Source organism: Homo sapiens, chromosome 1 (assembly GCF_000001405.40).
Source record: "Homo sapiens chromosome 1, GRCh38.p14 Primary Assembly".
Lineage (NCBI taxonomy): Eukaryota > Metazoa > Chordata > Mammalia > Primates > Hominidae > Homo > Homo sapiens.
In genome coordinates, this window is record NC_000001.11 from 150,663,558 (window position 1) to 150,681,051 (window position 17,494).

General features: G+C 41.2%; 1 protein-coding gene across 4 annotated transcripts in view; it reads right to left on the bottom strand.

The window, feature by feature from the left end:
- The window catches only part of GOLPH3L (golgi phosphoprotein 3 like), a 50,925-nt gene that overhangs the window by 17,328 nt on the left and 16,103 nt on the right, over positions 1 to 17,494 (bottom strand). For 3 of the 4 annotated variants that reach the window (NM_018178.6, XM_006711428.3, XM_047424286.1), the window contains exon 3: positions 75 to 206. The exons of the other annotated variant lie outside the window; for it this stretch is intronic. In NM_018178.6, the coding sequence (NP_060648.2) occupies positions 75 to 206 (132 nt within the window). The remainder of the gene's footprint in view (positions 1 to 74; positions 207 to 17,494) is intronic. 4 annotated transcript variants of the gene reach the window in all.

A 17,494-nucleotide genomic window follows, 5' to 3' on the forward strand; every position in this document is an offset into this window, starting at 1 on the left:
TTTCTATTCTTCCCAAATGTACTGTTGGTATTTGCCTTTCCATAAGCCATGGACGTTCACAGAGGATTCAGTACCTTTCTGTCTAGTAGTCGCTTCTTACGCATGGTCGGGGGTTCCAGATAGATTCGACCCCGCATGGCCAGCTCTATCAGGATGCCCCCTCGCAGGCCTGATGATATGCAGTCATTCCAGAAAGATGTGTACCCCTAGGAAAGGAGAAAAGAGAAGAGAAAGAATGTTTTGAGAGGAATACTGACTTCCAGCAGGCACCCTAAGAACAGGCCGCTTTGTTGTGATTCGTTTCACATCATACTACATGAACTCAAAGTATAGAGTAAGAGGATGTTTCTTTAATCCTCTTAAACACCCCCAAATATGATTTTCTGTCTGACTTCAAGATCTTTAGTGAATTTCCATGGTTTGCTGTTAGTCAATAAATGATGTGCAATTTTTTTTTTTGAGACAGGGTCTCGCTTTTTCCCCCAGGCTGAAATGCAGTGGCATGATCATGGCTCACTGCAGCCTTGACCTCCTGGGCTCAAGCAATCCTTCCACCTCAGCCTCCTGAGTAGCTGGGACTACAGGTATGTGCCACCATGCCTGGCTGTTTTTAAAAAAAATTTTTTTGTAGAGACAAGGTCTTGCTATGTTGCCTACGCTGGTCTCGAACTCCTGGCCTCAAGCTATCCTCCCACCTTGGCCTCCGAAAGTGTTGGGATTACAGACATGAGTGACTGCACCTGGTTTGACATGCAAAATTTTAATTTTTGAGGAGAATTTTGGCTTTTTTGAAGTCTGTTTCCATGACACAAAATTTCAGAGTGGGGTAAAATAAGTCAGAAAAAAGTAAAAAGCATTTGAGCTTTTAATCCTCCTAGATATGTATTAATTTGAAGTTCTTTTTTCTTTTTTTTGAGATGGAGGCTTGCTCTGTCGCCCAGGCTGGAGTGCAGTGACGTGATCTTGGCTCACTGCAACCTCCGCCTCCCAGGTTCAAGCGATTCTCCTGCCTCAGCCTCCTGAGTAGCTGGGATTACAGGTGTGCACTGCCACACCCAGCTAATTTTTGTATTTTTAGTAGAGACGGGATTTCACTATGTTGGTCAAGCTGGTCTCAAACTCCTGACCTCGTCATCCACCAGCCTCAGTCTCCCAAAGTGCTGGGAATACAGGAGTGAGCCACCGTGCCCAGCCAATTTGAAGTTCTTTTGATGGGAGGTATAATAGAAACCCACTGTCATTAAGTGCCTTGGTTATGTTACTTAAACTTTCTGAAGTACATTGTCCTCATCTATAAAATGCAGACACCAATATATATTTTCATAAGATTGTTATGAGGGTTACATGAGATACAATATATAAGAAAGCATTTAGTATAGTGCCTGGCATATAGCAGGCACTTAAAATGTTAGCTCCCCTTCCCTTTGTATAGGGAATATACGTATAAGAGAGCCACTGGTATTGTCTAACAGCAGTAACGTTTAATTACTAATGTCTATTGAATACTTATTATATACTAGATATGTGCTAATACTTATTATGTACTAGATTTGTGCTAAGCTTTTTACATGCATTATCTGATTATATCTTCACAACAACCCTATAAAGGAAGTACTACTACTACCCACACATTAAAGATGAGAAAACTAAGGCTTACAGAGGTTATACAGCATAACAGAGGTCACGAAGCTAAATAGAGAAATTTTTAAGTGGTTGTTTTTTTGGTGGTGTTTTACTGATAGATCATAGTTGTGCATATTTTGGGGTTACTTTTTTTTTTTAAGAGACAGGCGGGGTCTTGCTCCATTATCCAGGCTGAAATGCAGTGGGGCCATCATAGCTCACTGTAGACTTGAACTCCAGGGCTCAAACAATTGTCCTGCCTCAGCCTCCCAAGTAGCTCAGACTACAGGCATGAGACACTGCACCTAGCTATAATAACTATTTAAAAAATTTTTTAATTCAATTTTCCTCTTTATTGGCTTGGAAGTTATGTACTTTTAGAAGTTATCCTTGAAATTTTAACATGCATGATACATTAATTTAAAATTAACATAAAACCTAAATTTTAAATATTAATATTTTAACCACTCTTTTAGTTGTCCAGTATTTTTTTTTAGCCTCATAAATTAGATATCATCATCATCATTATTATTTTATACAGGTAGCACTTGTTTAGATTTACACAGGTGCTTACGAATTTCTTTGCTCACCGTTCCTTCCTGTATCTCAGACTTCCTTTCTGGCACCATTTTTCTTCTTCCTAAAGTAGAATTTCCTTAAGTGAAAGTCTGTTGGAGGCAGTTTCTATTTTGCTTATCTGAAATGTCTTTGTATTTCACCATCATCCTTGAAAGATAGTTTCTCTGGACATAAAATTCCAGGTTGATCATTCCAGGTTATCACATTGAAGATAGTATGCCCTCTTCTTCCAGCTTCTAATATAGCAGTGAGAAATCTATCTTTCTTATTGATTGTGGTTTTTTTGTAGGTGGTGTATCTTTTCTTTGGTCCTTTAAGATCTTCTCTTTTGGTGTTTTGCAGTTTTACTATAACATGACTGTGCATGAATTTATTTATTCTGTTTGGTATATGTTGTGCTTCCCATAACTGTGGTTTCATTTCTTAGCTTCAAAAATTCTCAGCTCTTAGGTCTCTAAGCACTTTGGCTCTCCTTTATTTTCTTTTTTCTTTCCTTCTAGGACTTCAGTCTTTATTTTAACCCCGTCTTTTAACCTTTTATATTTTCCATTTGCTTGTTCTCTGTATTGCTTTCTGGAGAGTTTTTGTTTGTTTGTTTGTTTCTGAGATGGAGTCTCACCTGTCACCCAGGCTGGAGTGCAATGGCACAATCTCGGCTCACTGCAACCTCCGTCTCCCAGGTTCAAGCAATTCTCCTGCCTCAGCCTCCCAAGTAGCTGGGATTACAGGTGCACCTCACCACGCCTGGCTAATTTTTTTGTGGAGATGGGGTTTTATCATGTTGGCCAGGCTGGTCTTGAACTCCTGACCTCAGGTGATCTGCCTGCCTCAGCCTCCCAAAGTGCTGGAATTACAAGCATGAGCCACCAGCCTGGCCTTTGGAGAGTTTTTAAAAAATATCCGGCTTCCTATTTACTAATTCAAACTAACCCTGAGATTTTGATTTCAACAATTTTTCATTAGTAGAAGTTTTATTTAGTTATTTTTCACATTTGTCTGGTGATTTGTGATTTTTTGTTTATTTTGTGATTATTTTATTTCTTTAAAAATGTCATATTTTTAGTCTGATTATTTTAATATGGGACAATATATGAGGTCCTTGATACCTGACAATATCTGAGGACTTTATTTGTCACTTCTTCCTTGTTTGTATGTTTGATGATCTTTGATTAAGAGGTTCACGTTTAACGTTTTGTGAATTTACGAGATTCTGGAGGCCTAAATTGAGGACATCTTCCTTCAGAGGGAAAGATCTGTTTCTGCCGAGAGCCAAGTACAGAGGGATTGTGGGAGTGCCACACAACTGGGAGCACATTTAAGCCTAGTTTCCCCACTTTACCTCAACCATCAAGTTTATTCCTGACCAACCAACTCCTGAATCTCAAGACTGATTTGGTAATTTGCCCCAGGGTAATTTGATCTTCATGTTATCTTTATTGCTCACCTCTTGGATTTTAATTTTGGTGTTTGGGGGCCCCTTGAAGATTATTTCTACTTTCCAAGACTCAATAATACATTAAAAATTAAGCTTATTCAAGACTTAATATCTGACCACCATACTGCCAGGGCTAGAGGACCTCTAATTCTATTTGTCCTGCTATAGCCAGGACAATCTTTAACATCAAGTGTAATGATATAACTCCCTCCCCTCATGCTTAAAAATCTTTCAAACATTCCTCTCAGCCTTCAGGATGGAATCCAAATGGCTAATGCAGGAGGATCGCTTGAGGCCAAGAGTTGGCCAGCCTTTGGGAACACAGCGAGACCTTGTCTGTAAAAACAAAACAAAACAAAACAAAAGTGGCTATTTACTAGTCTTTTCTTTTTTTTTCTTTCTTTTTTTTTTTTTTTTGAGACGGAGTCTCTCTCTGTCACCCAGGCTGGAGTGCAGTGGCGCAATCTCGGCTGACTGTAAGCTCCACCTGCCGGGTTCACGCCATTCTCCTGCCTCAGCCTCCGAGTAGCTGGGACTACAGGCGCCCGCCACCACACCCAGCTAAATTTTTTTATATTTTTGGTAGAGATGGGGTTTCACCGTGTTAGCTAGGATGGTCTTGATCTCCTGACCTCGTGACCCGCCTGCCTCGGCCTCCCAAAGTGCTGGGATTACAGGAGTGAGCCACCACGCCCGGCCCACTAGTCTTTTCTTTGGCCTCTTTCCCCTATTGGCCTTTGCACACACTGCTCTGTTGAAAAGAACCAATATTCTTCCTTCCAAAACTCCTCTTTGTAGTTAAGCGTTAAGTACAGGGGTCACATTTCCACATAACCTTCTCTAACATTGTTTACTTCTCCACTCCACCCTCTGGATTAGGTTCTGCACCTGGGTGTGCCCATACATACTTCTCTCATAACTTCTATTATATCATATTGCAAACAACTATTTCTCCTGACCAGACTACAAATTCCTTAAGGAGAGAATATCCCTTATGCCGCAAAAATATTTTTGAAAGCATAAATTTATGCTTAAAAGTAAATGTTAACCTGGCAAAAGTTCAGCTTGAGCCATAAAATATTCCTTAGACATCTCCAAATTTCCTGAGGGTCTGATCTTTGACTCAAGGTTGGGATTAGTTCCCTCCCCTGCCTGCCTCATGGCTACTCCAAGTCATATTTGTTTTTTTGGTTTTGTTTTTGTTTGGACACAGGGTATCGCTCTGTCGCCCAGGCTGGGGTGCAGTGGCATGATCTCATCTCACTGCAACCTCCACCTCCCTGGTTCAAGCAATCCTCTCACCTCAGCCTCCCAAGTAGTTGGGACTACAGGCGCGTGCCACCACACCCAGCTAATATTTGTATTTTTAGTAGAGATGGGGTTTTGCCATGTTGCCCAGGCTGGTCTCGAACTCCTCAGCTCAAGTGGTATGCCCACCTCAGCCTCCTGAAGTACTAAAATTACAGGTGTGAGCCACTGTGCCTGGCCCCAACTCATATTTGTGACTCCTCTTTAAGGAAGGGGTAGGCTTTTTTTTTAGGTTAACACTTGTTTTTTTTTATAGTTTAGCTACCTAATTAAAGTTAAACTATAACTTCCTTCAGAACACGTAATTATGTAGGCATTATTTATTCTCGTAATAAATCTTAACAGGTGTGCAAACATTTTAGCCAATATTAAAGCAACTGGAAGAAAGTTTTCTTTTGTTGTCTCATTTCCTCCTGACCATGTAACTTCTGTTTCAGTGACAGTGACATCAGATTGTCAACAAAACTATAAATGAGAAGCAGTATAAAGAAATGATGAAGATCAGGATAAAGAAACTACATTTTTGAATGTCACACTTTCCTATTGTAGCATCTCAAAACATACAAAACTTTCCAAACGAGTTTTTAACTTTTTTATTAAGAATATGCAATAATAGACAAAAGTATAAAAACATATATGTAGAGTTTTAAGAAAATAATTATAAAACAAACACCTGTATAACTACAAGAAAGAGACTGGATTTAGAAAAAGAAAATAACTGAGAAAAGAGAGAACATGATAGTAAATGTTCCCCTGTACTGTGGGTACATATGACCAATAAAGATTATAATATTGTCATCTATAGTAATATTTAGAACAGATTGAAACAAATTTAGGTGCAGAATAGCCTGGAGGTAAGGGAAAATACAATTATTTATATTTAAAGGTCATTTTCCTCTTAGTGTATCTATCTAACTTAGTGAATTCTCCAGCCATTCATAATAAAGATTCTATATTAAATGGCCAATGCTTTGGTATGTCTGAGCAGGAAGACCTAGCACGTACATACTAAAGTTCACCATTTGATCATTAAATCTCATTACCAAAGGCTATCTAAAGAAAATTTTAGGACCTACCCAACACAGATGGAATTGCACATTGTCTCATGGCTAATGGAGAATCTCAGAGAATTTGCAGAATAAGATATTCAGATAGTGGACTTTAATATACATCTGTAGGCCGGGCGCGGTGGCTCACACCTGTAATCCCTGCACTTTGGGAGGTCAAGGCGGGTGGATCACCTGAGGTTAGGAGTTCGAGACCAGCCTGGCCAACATGATGAAACCCTGTCTCTACTAAAAATACAAAAATTAGCTGGGTGTGGTGGCACGTGCCTGTAATCCCAGCTACTCAGGAGGCTGAGGCAGGATAATCACTTGAACCTGGGAGGTGGAGGTTGCAGTTAGCTGAGATCACACCACTGCACTCCATCCTGGGCAACAAGAGCAAAACTCCGTCTCAAAAAAAAAAACTGCAGGCCCGGCGTGGTCGCTCAGGACTGTAATCCCAGCATTTTGGGAGGCTGACGTGGGTGGATAGCCTGAGGTCAGCAGTTCAAGACCAGCCTGGCCAACATGGTGAAACCCCGTTTCTACTAAAAAATATAAAAATTGGCCAGGTGTGGTGGTAGACGCCTGTAATCCCAGCCACTCAGGAAGCTGAGGCAGAAGAATTGCTTGAACCCCAGAGGTGGAGGTTGCAGTGAGCTGAGATCTCACCACTGCACTCCAGCCTGGGCGACAAGATTGAAACTCCATCTCAAAAAAAATTGTAAAAAAGAAAGAAAAATCCCATTATAGAAATGTATACTTTAGGCTGGGTGTGGTGGCTCACGCCTGTAATCCCAGCACTTTGGGAGGCTGAGGCGAGTGGATCATGAGGTCAGGAGATCGAGACCATCCTGGCTAACACGGTGAAACCCCGTCTCTACTAAAAATACAAAAAATTAGCCGGGCGTGGTGGCGGGTGCCTGTAGTCCCAGCTACTTGGGAGGCTGAGGCAGGAGAATGGCATGAACCCAGGAGGCGGAGCTTGCAGTGAGCCGAGATTGTGCCACTGCACTCCAGCCTGGGCTACAGAGCAAGACTCTGTCTCAAAAAATAAATAAATAAATAAAAAGAAATGTAGACTTTAGAAAGTGAAAGTGTTCTAGAATCTTATCCCCTCTAGAGGATCACTACCAACAGTTTAATGGGTACTTTTCTAGATTTTTATATACATATTCTATGTTTACACTTATTAATATTATTTCTAGAAATGGCATTACACTGAGTGGTAACTTTTTTCATTAACCCATTATTCTGGGTATCATTCCACATCAGTAAATATACTTCTTCATCCCTTGTAATGACTGCATAGTATTGCATTTTACATGCATTATAATTTTATCTATCCAAGCCCCTTACTGATGTGCATTTAGGTTGCTTACAGTATTTTGTTATTATTAAAAAATGTTGGCTGGGTGTGGTGGCTCAAGCCTGTAATCCCAGCACTTTGGGAGGCCATGGTGGGTGGATCACCTGAGGTCAGGAGTTTGAGACCAGCCTGGCCAACATGGTGAAACCCAGTCTCCACTAAAAATACAAAAAAATTAGCCGGGCATGGTGGCCCGTGCCTGTAATCCCAGCTACTCAGGAGGGTGAGGCAGGAGAATCCTATGAATCCAGGAGGCAGAGGCTGCAGGGAGGTGAGTTCGTGCCACTGCACTCCAGCCTGGGCGGCAGAGTAAGACTCCATCTCAAGAAAAAAAAAAAAAAGTAAAGACGTATTCATTTGTGTGTGTATTTCTGTTGAATATCTAGAAGAAAATTCTGGGTCAAATATTACACATATTTAAACTTTAAAGATTGCACAATGGGAATTCAATAAATTCAGACAGTCAACACTTTATGCTGAATTTCCACTTAGTCAAGTATTCAAAGTGCCCTTCCTTATTCAAACTTCCTTGAAGACACACCTTAAAACAACTCTGAAGGTTAAAGATCTTAAAAGTTGCCTGCTTGGCAAAAAAAGAGGAAAGAAGGGCCGGGCGCGGTGGCTCACGCCTGTAATCCCAGCACTTTGGGAGGCCAAGGCGGGCGGATCACCTAAGGTCAGAGTTTGAGACCAGCCTGGCCAACATGGTGAAACACTGTCTCTACTAAAAATACAAAATTAGCCGGGTGTGGTGCCGCATGCCTGTAATCCCAGCTATTCGGGAGGCTGAGACAAGGAGAATCGCTTGAACCTGGGAGGCGGAGGTTGCAGTGAGCCGAGATCGCACCACTGCACTCCAACCTGGACAACGAGAGCAAAACTCCGTCTCAAAAAAAAAAAAAAAAAAAAAAGAGGAAAGAAAACAAAACAACTTAAAGCATCATTAAAAAATATGCTCATAAGGAGTTTTTAAAATAACATTAGAAAATACTTGTGATAAAGTTGAATGAAAAATAGCCAGATATATAATTGAGTATCCAGGATTATTACAATGATATAAAATAATGTCTACATTAAAACATGGCTTTTTAACCTTTCCAAATTATCTACAGTGAGAAAATATCACTTTTTAAAGGAAAATTTTCAGAAAAAAAGAACCCCTCCATCTCCCCAAGTCTGAAGATTTAACATTAAAATTGCTTCACCTTCCATGAGAGAAGAAATGTTATCATGTTGCTTTGAACCCTTTTATATCTGCCCAATTCCAAAGCCCAAGGAAAGTATAATGATCTTCAGGGGTTATCAAAAATTCTACAAGCAAAACTAATTTTATTATTTTTTTCCTCCTAAAAAATTACTCTAAGAAAATTTAGTGTACTGTTTGTCCTTGAATCACTCTATTAAAAGAGTGGTATTCAGGATTTGATGTAAATTCCTCTTTTACAAATTAATGTGATTCATCGAAACTCCAATTCCTATTTCTACATCCACACAGCTCATAAAGACATTTTATGTATGTATGTATGTATTTGAGACGGAGTCTCAATCTATCGCCCAGGCTGGAGTGCAGTGGCACAATCATGGCTCACTGCAACCTCTGCCTCCCAGGTTCAAGCGATTCTCCTGCCTCAGCCTCCCGAGTAGCTGGGATTACAGGGGCCTGCCACCACATTCAGTTAATTTTTGTATTTTTAGTAGAGACGGGACTTCATCATGTTGGCCAGGCTGGTCTCGAACTCCTGACCTCAGGTGATCCACCCACCTCAGCCTCCCAAAGTGCTGGGATTACAGGTGTGAGCCACTGCACCTGGCCAAGAGATTTTATAAAATAGATCAAGCATTAAAAGCCCACTCTGTTTAATCCTATTGGAGAATGAAGAACTGTGACCTGATGCTGTTCTGGTTTAACAGATAATTTCAGCCTGATCGTGAGGAAGGGATTATAAATATAGGCAAATGGACAGGATTTCTCAATGAATGAAATGAAGATTGAATCCTTTCAGGTTTATTTTAAAAGGTGGGTAGAAAGATGCAAAGCTAGTTACAATGATCAGTTTATTAGTTTTTGCAGGGCTTCTGTTTTTTTTTTCCTTATCAAAAGTTTAGCAAATAAAAACAACATGCTAATGCGTTGTCAGTGAAAGGGAAATGCAAAATAAAGGAAAGCAACTGGTCATCTTTGAATTCCCATATAAGCTTTAAATCTCATTCTGGTCAGTAAAAATATCATTAGTTGTTTTACCCTAAAAATTTTTATTTTTTTTATTTTTTAGACATAGTCTCCCTCTGTCACCTAGGCTGGAGTGACCTGGCCGGAAAGAGGAATTTTAATTGCTACACATTGTCCAAAGAAAACGGAAGAAAAGCCAGGCGCGGTGGCTCATGCCTGTAATCCCAGCACTTTGGGAAGCCGAGGCGGGCGGATCACAAGGTTAGGAGTTCGAGACCAGGGTGGCCAACATAGTGAAACCCTGTCTCTACTAAAAACACAAAAAATTAGCTGGGCAGGCGTGGTGGTGGGCACCTGTAATCCCAGCTACTTGGGAGGCTGAGGCAGGAGAATCATGTGAATCAGGAGGCGGAGGTTGCAGTGAGCTGAGATCGCACCACTGCACTCCAGCCCGGGTGACAGTGCAAGACTCCGTCTCAAAAAAACAAAACAAAACAAAAAACAAAAGAAAACAGAAGAAAAGAGAAAGTTGAGAAGGGGGAGCAAAAATTTGAAAACAGGCCAGGCTCAGTGGCTCACGCCAGTAATCCTAGTACTTTGGGAGGCCAAGGTGGGAGTACTGCCTGAGCTCGGGAGTTCAGGACCAGCCTGGGCAACACAGTGAAACCCCGTCTCTACCAAAAGTACAAAAAAAAAACTGGCCGGGTGCGTCTGTGGGTCCCAGCTACTTGGGAGGCTGAGGCAGGAGAATTGCTTGAACCCGGGAGGTGGAGGTTGCAGTGAGCCGAGATTGTACCACTGTACTCCAACCTGGGTGACAAAGTGAGACTCCCATCTCCAAAAAAAAAAAAAAAAGAAAAAAAATGGAAAACATGTCCAGGCTCTAAGTCTATCTCCCCACAACTCACGTGATTTTTTTAAACAATAAAATATTTATCAATTTATTCATCCACTTATATTTAGCTTGAATCTGAGTGACTTATGGAAATTTTAGAAATTAAAATCCATCCCCAAAACAACCAATTATAGTATCATTACAATAAGTATTTAGCCATCTTAAGGGACAACTTCAAAAGAGGCAGTACTCTTTTGAATATAGAAGTTTTCATATGTTTGTTAATAAGAGCAAAATAAACTATCATTAGAGTGAACAGGTAACCTACAGAGTGGGAGAATTTTTTTTTTTTTTTTGAGATGGAGTCTTTCTCTGTCACCCAGGCTGGAGTGCAGTGGCATGATCTTGGCTCATTGCAACCTCCGCCTCCTGGGCTCAAGCGATTCTCCTGCCTCGGCCTCCCGAGTAGCTGGGATTACAGGCATATGTCACTAGGCCTAGCTAATTTTTTTGTATTTTGAGTACAGACAGGGTTTCACCATGTTGGCCAGGGTAGTTTCGAACTCCTGACCTCAGGTGATCTACCTGCCTTGGCCTCCCAAAGTGCTGGTATTACAGGCGTGAACCACCGCACTCGGCCTTTTTCTTTTTTTTAAAGAGATGAGGTCTTGGCCTGGTATGGTGGCTCCTACCTATAATCCCAGCACTTTGCCAAGCTGAGGCGGGAGGATAGCTGAGGCACGAGGACCACTTAAGTCCAAAGTTCGTAACCAGCTTAGGCAACATACTGAGACTCCATCTATATAAAAAATTTTAAAAATTAGCCAGGTGTGGTGGCACATGCCTGTAGTCCCACTTACTCAGGAGGCTGAGGTGGAAGGATCCCTCAAGCCCAGGAGGTCAAGGGGGCAGTGAGCCATGATCATGCCACTGCACTCTAGCCTGGGCAAGAGAGTGAGACCCTGTCTCAAAGGAAAAAAAAGAGAGAAACAGGGTTTCACTCTGTCATACAGGCTAGAGTACAGTGGCACAATCATGGCTCACTGCAGCCTCAAACTCCTGGGCTTGAGTTATCCTCCCTTGTGGTTAGGACTACAGGTGTGTACCACCACGTCTGGCTAATTAAAAAAAAAAATTTGTAGCAATAGGGTCTGGCTATGTTGCCCAGGCTGGTGTTGAAGACCTGGCCTCGAGTGATCCTCCCACTTCAGCCTCCCAAGTAGCTAGGATTACAGATGTGAGCCACCTGGCCTGGCTTCCAATGATTTAAAACGGACTTAGAAACACAAGCAATTATGTTACGTTCAAACCTTAGAAGAGCAAAACTAGGTAAGTGTAGATTTTTTTTTTTTGTGGTCAAATAGCTTTTCTCTCCTTGATTACTAGCATATACACATTGTAGAAAATTTGAAAACAAAAAAATTCATAAAAAATAAAAATCACCCATAAATTCCATTACCCTATGATCATATGGGTGTATGTACAACCAAACTTTTCTGTATACATAAAATACATGTATCTTCTACCCATCAACCTATTTTCCCATCTCCTTCTCTCCCAACCCCAATTCTGGGGCGTCCCTTCATAGCAAAGGTTTGTGTGAATTATGGAACAACAGTATGATATATATGTTATAAACCTCAACAAAATATTACCAGCCTGGGCAGCATGTTGAAACCCCGTCTCTACTAAAAATACAAAAAATTAGATAGGTGTGGTGGCATGTGCCTGTAGTCCCAGCTACTTGGGAGGCTGAGGCAGGAGAACTACTTGAATCTGGGAGGTGGAGGTTGCAGTGAGCCAAGCTCGCGCCACTACACCCCAGCCTGGGCGACAGAGTAAGAGAGACTCTGTCTCAAAAAAAAAAAAAAAAAAAAAAAAAAAAGTATTGAGGAGTAGAGATAGAAGAAACTGCGAAGAGTACTGATTTCATCATCTTTCACTACAGGGAGTCAGTAGGATATTGTCTAAAACTGAGTAATGTGGTAAGAAAACACAACCCCAATTTTTTTTTAACATTTTTGATTGAACTCCTCCCTCCCTCCCTCCCTTCCTTTTTTTTTTTGTGTCTCCCTTTGTCACTCAACCAGGCTGCAGTAGAGGTGCAGTGGTGTGAACATGGCTCACTGTAGCCCCAACCTCCTAGACTCAAACAATCGTCTGGCCTCAGCCTCCTAAGTAGCTGGAACTACCAGCGCATGCCACCATGCCTGGCTAATTTTTGTATTTTTTGCAGAGACAAGGTTTTCCGATGTTGCCCAAGCTAGTCTCCAACTCCTGAGCTCAGGTGATGCTCCTGCCTTGGCCTCTCAAAGTGCTGGGATTACAGGCTGAGCCACCATGCCCAGCCAACAGTTTCAAACATACACAAAGTAGAGAGATTATGTAGCTCTATGTAGCCATCACCTAGTTTCAACAGTTATCAATATAATCTTTCATCTTTACCACCCACCCCACCCAAACCCAGATTATTTCTGTACAAATTCCAGCTACTATATAATTTCATCCAAAAAATACTGCATATTCTCCCCAAGAGATTAGGATTTTTTAAAAAAAGAACTGTAATACCAATATCATACCTAAAACAACCCAATAAGAACTCCAGTAAGCCTTCATATTCCATCAATTGTTTAGTAAATTTTTTTTTACAGTTGCTTTGTTTGAATCTGGAGCCAAAGTCCATACTTAGTCTTCTGTATTTCATACATTCTATTTTTTTTTTTTTTTTTTTGAGATGGAGTTTCACTCTGTCACCCAGGCTAGCAGGCTGGAGTGCAATGGCTCGATCTTGGCTCACTGCAACCTCCGCCTCCCGGGTTCAAGCAATTCTCCTGCCTCAGACTCCCGAGTGGTTGGGATTACAGCCACCCGCCACCAAGCCTGGCTAATTTTTGTATTTTTAGTAGAGACTGGGTTTCACCATGTTGGCCAGGGTGGTCTTGAACTCCTGACCTCAGGTGATCCACCTGCCTCAGCTTCCAAAAAATGCTGGGATTACAGGCGTGAGCCACCGTGCCCAGCCTACATGTGTAATTTTAAAAGTAAAATGAAATATAATTTCATTTCATTTGGGGCCTCAGACTCCCAAAGTGCTGGGATTACAGGTGTGAGCCACCGTGCCAGGCTACATGCGTAATTTTATTTTATTATTTATTTATTTATTTTTGAGATGGAGTCTCACTCTGTCACCCAAGCTGGAGTGCAGTGGCGCGATCTTGGCTCACTGCAACCTCTGCCTCCCGGGTTCAAGCAATTCTCCTGCTTCAGCCTCCTGAGTAGCTGGGATTACAGGCATGAGCCACCGTGCCTGGCCTATTTATTTATTTATTTTTGAGACAGAGTCTCGCTCCATTGCCCAGGCTGGAGTGCAGTGGTGTGATCTTGGCTTACGGCAACTTCTGCCTCCTGGGTCCAAGTGATTCTCTTGCCTCAACCTCCTGAGTAGCTGGGATTACAGGCGTATGTCACCGTGCCTGGCTAAGTTTTTGTATTTTTAGTAGAGATGGGGTTTCATCATGTTGGCCAGGCTGGTCTTGAACTCCTGACCTCAGGTGATCCACCTGCCTCAGCCTCCAAAAAATGCTGGGATTACAGGCGTGAGCCACCATGCCCAGCCTACATGTGTAATTTTAAAAGTAAAATGAAATATAATTTTACTTAACAGAAAAAAAATGAAGTGAAACAATTACTAAACTTCAAACATTTCTTTTTTTTTTTTTTTTAATTTGAGACAGGGTCTCACTCTGTCACCCACGCTGGAGTGCATAATCGTAGCTCACTGCACCCTCTACTTCTCGAGCTCAAGCAATCCTACCACCTCAGCCTCCTAAGTGGATGGAACTACGGGCACATGCCACCATGCCCATTTAATCTTTTAATTCTTTTAGAGATGAGGGTCTTGCTATGTTGCCCAAGCTGGTCTCAAACTCATAGACTCAAGTGATCCTCCCACCTTGGCCTCCCAAAGTGCTAGGATTACAGGCATGAGCCACCACACCTGGCCTCAAACAGTTGTTTCTTATAAGAGATATGTCATGATGTTGGCTATGGGTTATCAAGTAAAAAGGAAAAAAAAATTTTTTTAAAGAGAAATGTGGCTGGGCACGGTGGCTCATGCCTGTAATCCCAGCACTTTGGGAGGCTGATGTGGGCGGATCACCTGAAGTCAGGAGTTCGAGACCAGCCTTACCAACATGGAGAAACCCCGTCTCTACTAAAAATACAAAATTAGCTGGGCGTGGTGGCACATACCTGTAATCCCAGCTACTCGGGAGGCTGAGGCAGGAGAATCACTTGAACCCGGGAGGCGGAGGTTTCAGTGAGCCGAGATCGCCTTGGGCAACAAGATCGAAACTCCGTCTCAAAAAAAAAAAAAAAAAAAAAAAGGACAAATGTCCTATAAATTCCTTTCTAAGATTTAAAAAAGAGATTATTAAGAGGTTGGGGTCATTTTTAAAAACTAGATGTTTCAATTTTAGATAACGTCTAAGTGACTCCTTATTATGAAAGATACAAGTTAATATCCTTCCCATATTTTATTACCTTACTTCCCAATTTTAAAATTATAACTTTTATTCTGTGTAGACTCATAATATGTATATTCTATTCTATAACTATAATTCACCAGATCTGCTCTACTTTATCTGAATGTATGCAGAGAGAGCTGATGCTGGTTACATGAGAGTTTATTATATTGTTTTTTACACATTTTTGTATGCCTGAATTATTTGTAATTTTGAAAAAAAGGAATGTTTTAAACTAAAAAATGATGTTTGGCGGGGTGCGGTGGCTCATGCCACCGAGGCAAGCAGATCATAAGGTCAAGAGATCAAGACCATCCTGGCCAACATGGTGAAACCCCATCTCTAGTAAAAACACAAAAATTAGCTGGTGTGGTGGCACACGCCTGTAGTCCCAGCTACTCGGGAGGCTGAGGCAGAACTGCTTGAACCTGGGAGGCAGAGGTTGCAGTGAGCCGAGAGCCAAGATCCAGCCTGGCGAGGGAGCAAGGCTCCGTCTCAAAAAAACAAAAAGTTTAAGAATATTTACAGTATTTCTGGGAAGTAAGATTTCTTCTTTTTTTAATGTTGTTAATTATACTTCCCTCTATTGCTTAAATTCTTTATCAAGAGCATTTTTTCCTAAAACAAACAGGAAAAACAAGTTTGTGTGAACCTTCACAATTTTAAGACTGGTATTATTCCCTTAAATCTTTCTTATGAGTGAAAATGTTAAAAGGGTGATAGTGCTGAGAAAGATTTGTCACATAAGCATAAATAGTACAATTAGATGCATACATAGAATGGGCAGTGGTATTATGTCTGCAGTATTCTACTTGACCAACCCAAAGCACTACCCCAAATAGCGAAGTACAGAAGCTCAGAAATCACAGCACAGTTTTCTCACTATTCTACTAGGCAAAAATTCTAGATTAAAGTTGAAAATGAAATCTAGAATTTAGTCTTCTGGCAGACATTTAAGTTCCTCACCTATTACCAAAATGAAAGACCCCAAAACTTAATTGCATGCAGTCACAAATCTTATCTCAAAAGTTAATTAGCCAAAATTTAAAGCTGGTTAGAAATAATAAAAAGGGCTGGGCGCAATGGCTCGCACCTGCAATCCTAGCACTTTGGGAGACCGAAGCAGGACTGCTTGAGGTCAGGAGTTAGAGACCAGCCTGGGCAACAAAGTGAAACTCCCTGTCTCTACAAGAAAATAAAAAAAATTAGCCAGGCATGGCGGCATACGCCTGTAGTCCCAGCTATTTCGGAGGCCAAAGTGAGAATATCCCTTGAGCCCAAGAGGTGGAGCCTGCAGTGAGGCATGTTCGTGCCACTGCACCCCAGCCTGGACGACAGAGTGGAGACTGTTACCAAAAATAATAATAATAATAAAAAGGCCAAGTGTGGTGGCTCATGTCTGTAATCTCCACACTTTGGGAGACTGAAGCAGGCAGATCACTTGAGGCTGGGAGTTCGAGACCCGCCTGGCTAACACAGTGAAACCCTGTCTCTATTTTAAAAAAAGAATAATAATAAAAAAAAGAATAAAATGATTATTGCTAAATTTTTATCGACTCCTAATTCAGATGAATTTAAGAGCTAGACTCCACAGAAATGATTCCTTATTTAGCAGAGGGAACAAAATCCAGAGAAGTAGGGAGTTTCAACAGGACGCTTCTGCAACAGTTTAGATTGGAGGTAATAAGATAAAGAAGCAAAAATGGGAATGGAAAGGAGGTATCAATGGCAAAGAGTGCAGATCTAAGACTGCAAGAATTCTTTCATGTATTTCCAACTCTGGAACTATCACCAGTACCCAGAGAGAGGTATATGAAAACAAAATAAACTGTTATCCTTCCTCTACACCTCAATAATTCATCTAAAATCCCTAGAAGCCACACATAACTAATTCAGATATCAAGTGGGTTTCCTATCCCCCAGATTATATCCCCAAGTAAATTAAGAGTTTTTTTTAAAGGATTATACATTATCCAAGTAAGAAAATAGTGAACAATCGTATTTACTTTTTTTTCATCCTATGTGTGAGGCCGCTGAAACAAAAGTCAAAGATTACTAAGAATACTAGGTTAGGCTCTCTTCTAGGAAACATTTTTCAGTGCCCTCTTGTTCCAATAACTAAGGTCAGGCCATTGGTTGCTCAGTTTGTAAGAGCTGATTCAACTGATCATTTTCAAGTCAAAAAATAAGAAACTACTGCTTTGAAAGTTTAAGGCTATCCTACAGATATTTACTTTAAAGCATGTAAGTGGCTATTTATGCCCAGCATTCAACTAAGGTCTCTCTGGCCATAAGAAAATGACCATTTAATTAAGAGCCAAGACTAATGGTTTAAACAACAACAAAAACATAATAATAATGGTTATTATTTATTGAGCATTTACATGTGTCATGCTCTGAGTTAAAATTTTTATATAATCAGGCTGGGCGCAGTGGCTCATGCCTGTAATCCCAGCACTTTGGGAAGCCGAGGCACCTGAGGTCAGGAGTTCAAGACCAGACTGGGCAACATGGTGAAACCCTGTCTCTACTGAAAATACAAAAACTAGCCAGGCATGGTGGTGGACACCTAGAATCCCAGCTACTCGGGAGGCTGAGGCAGGAGA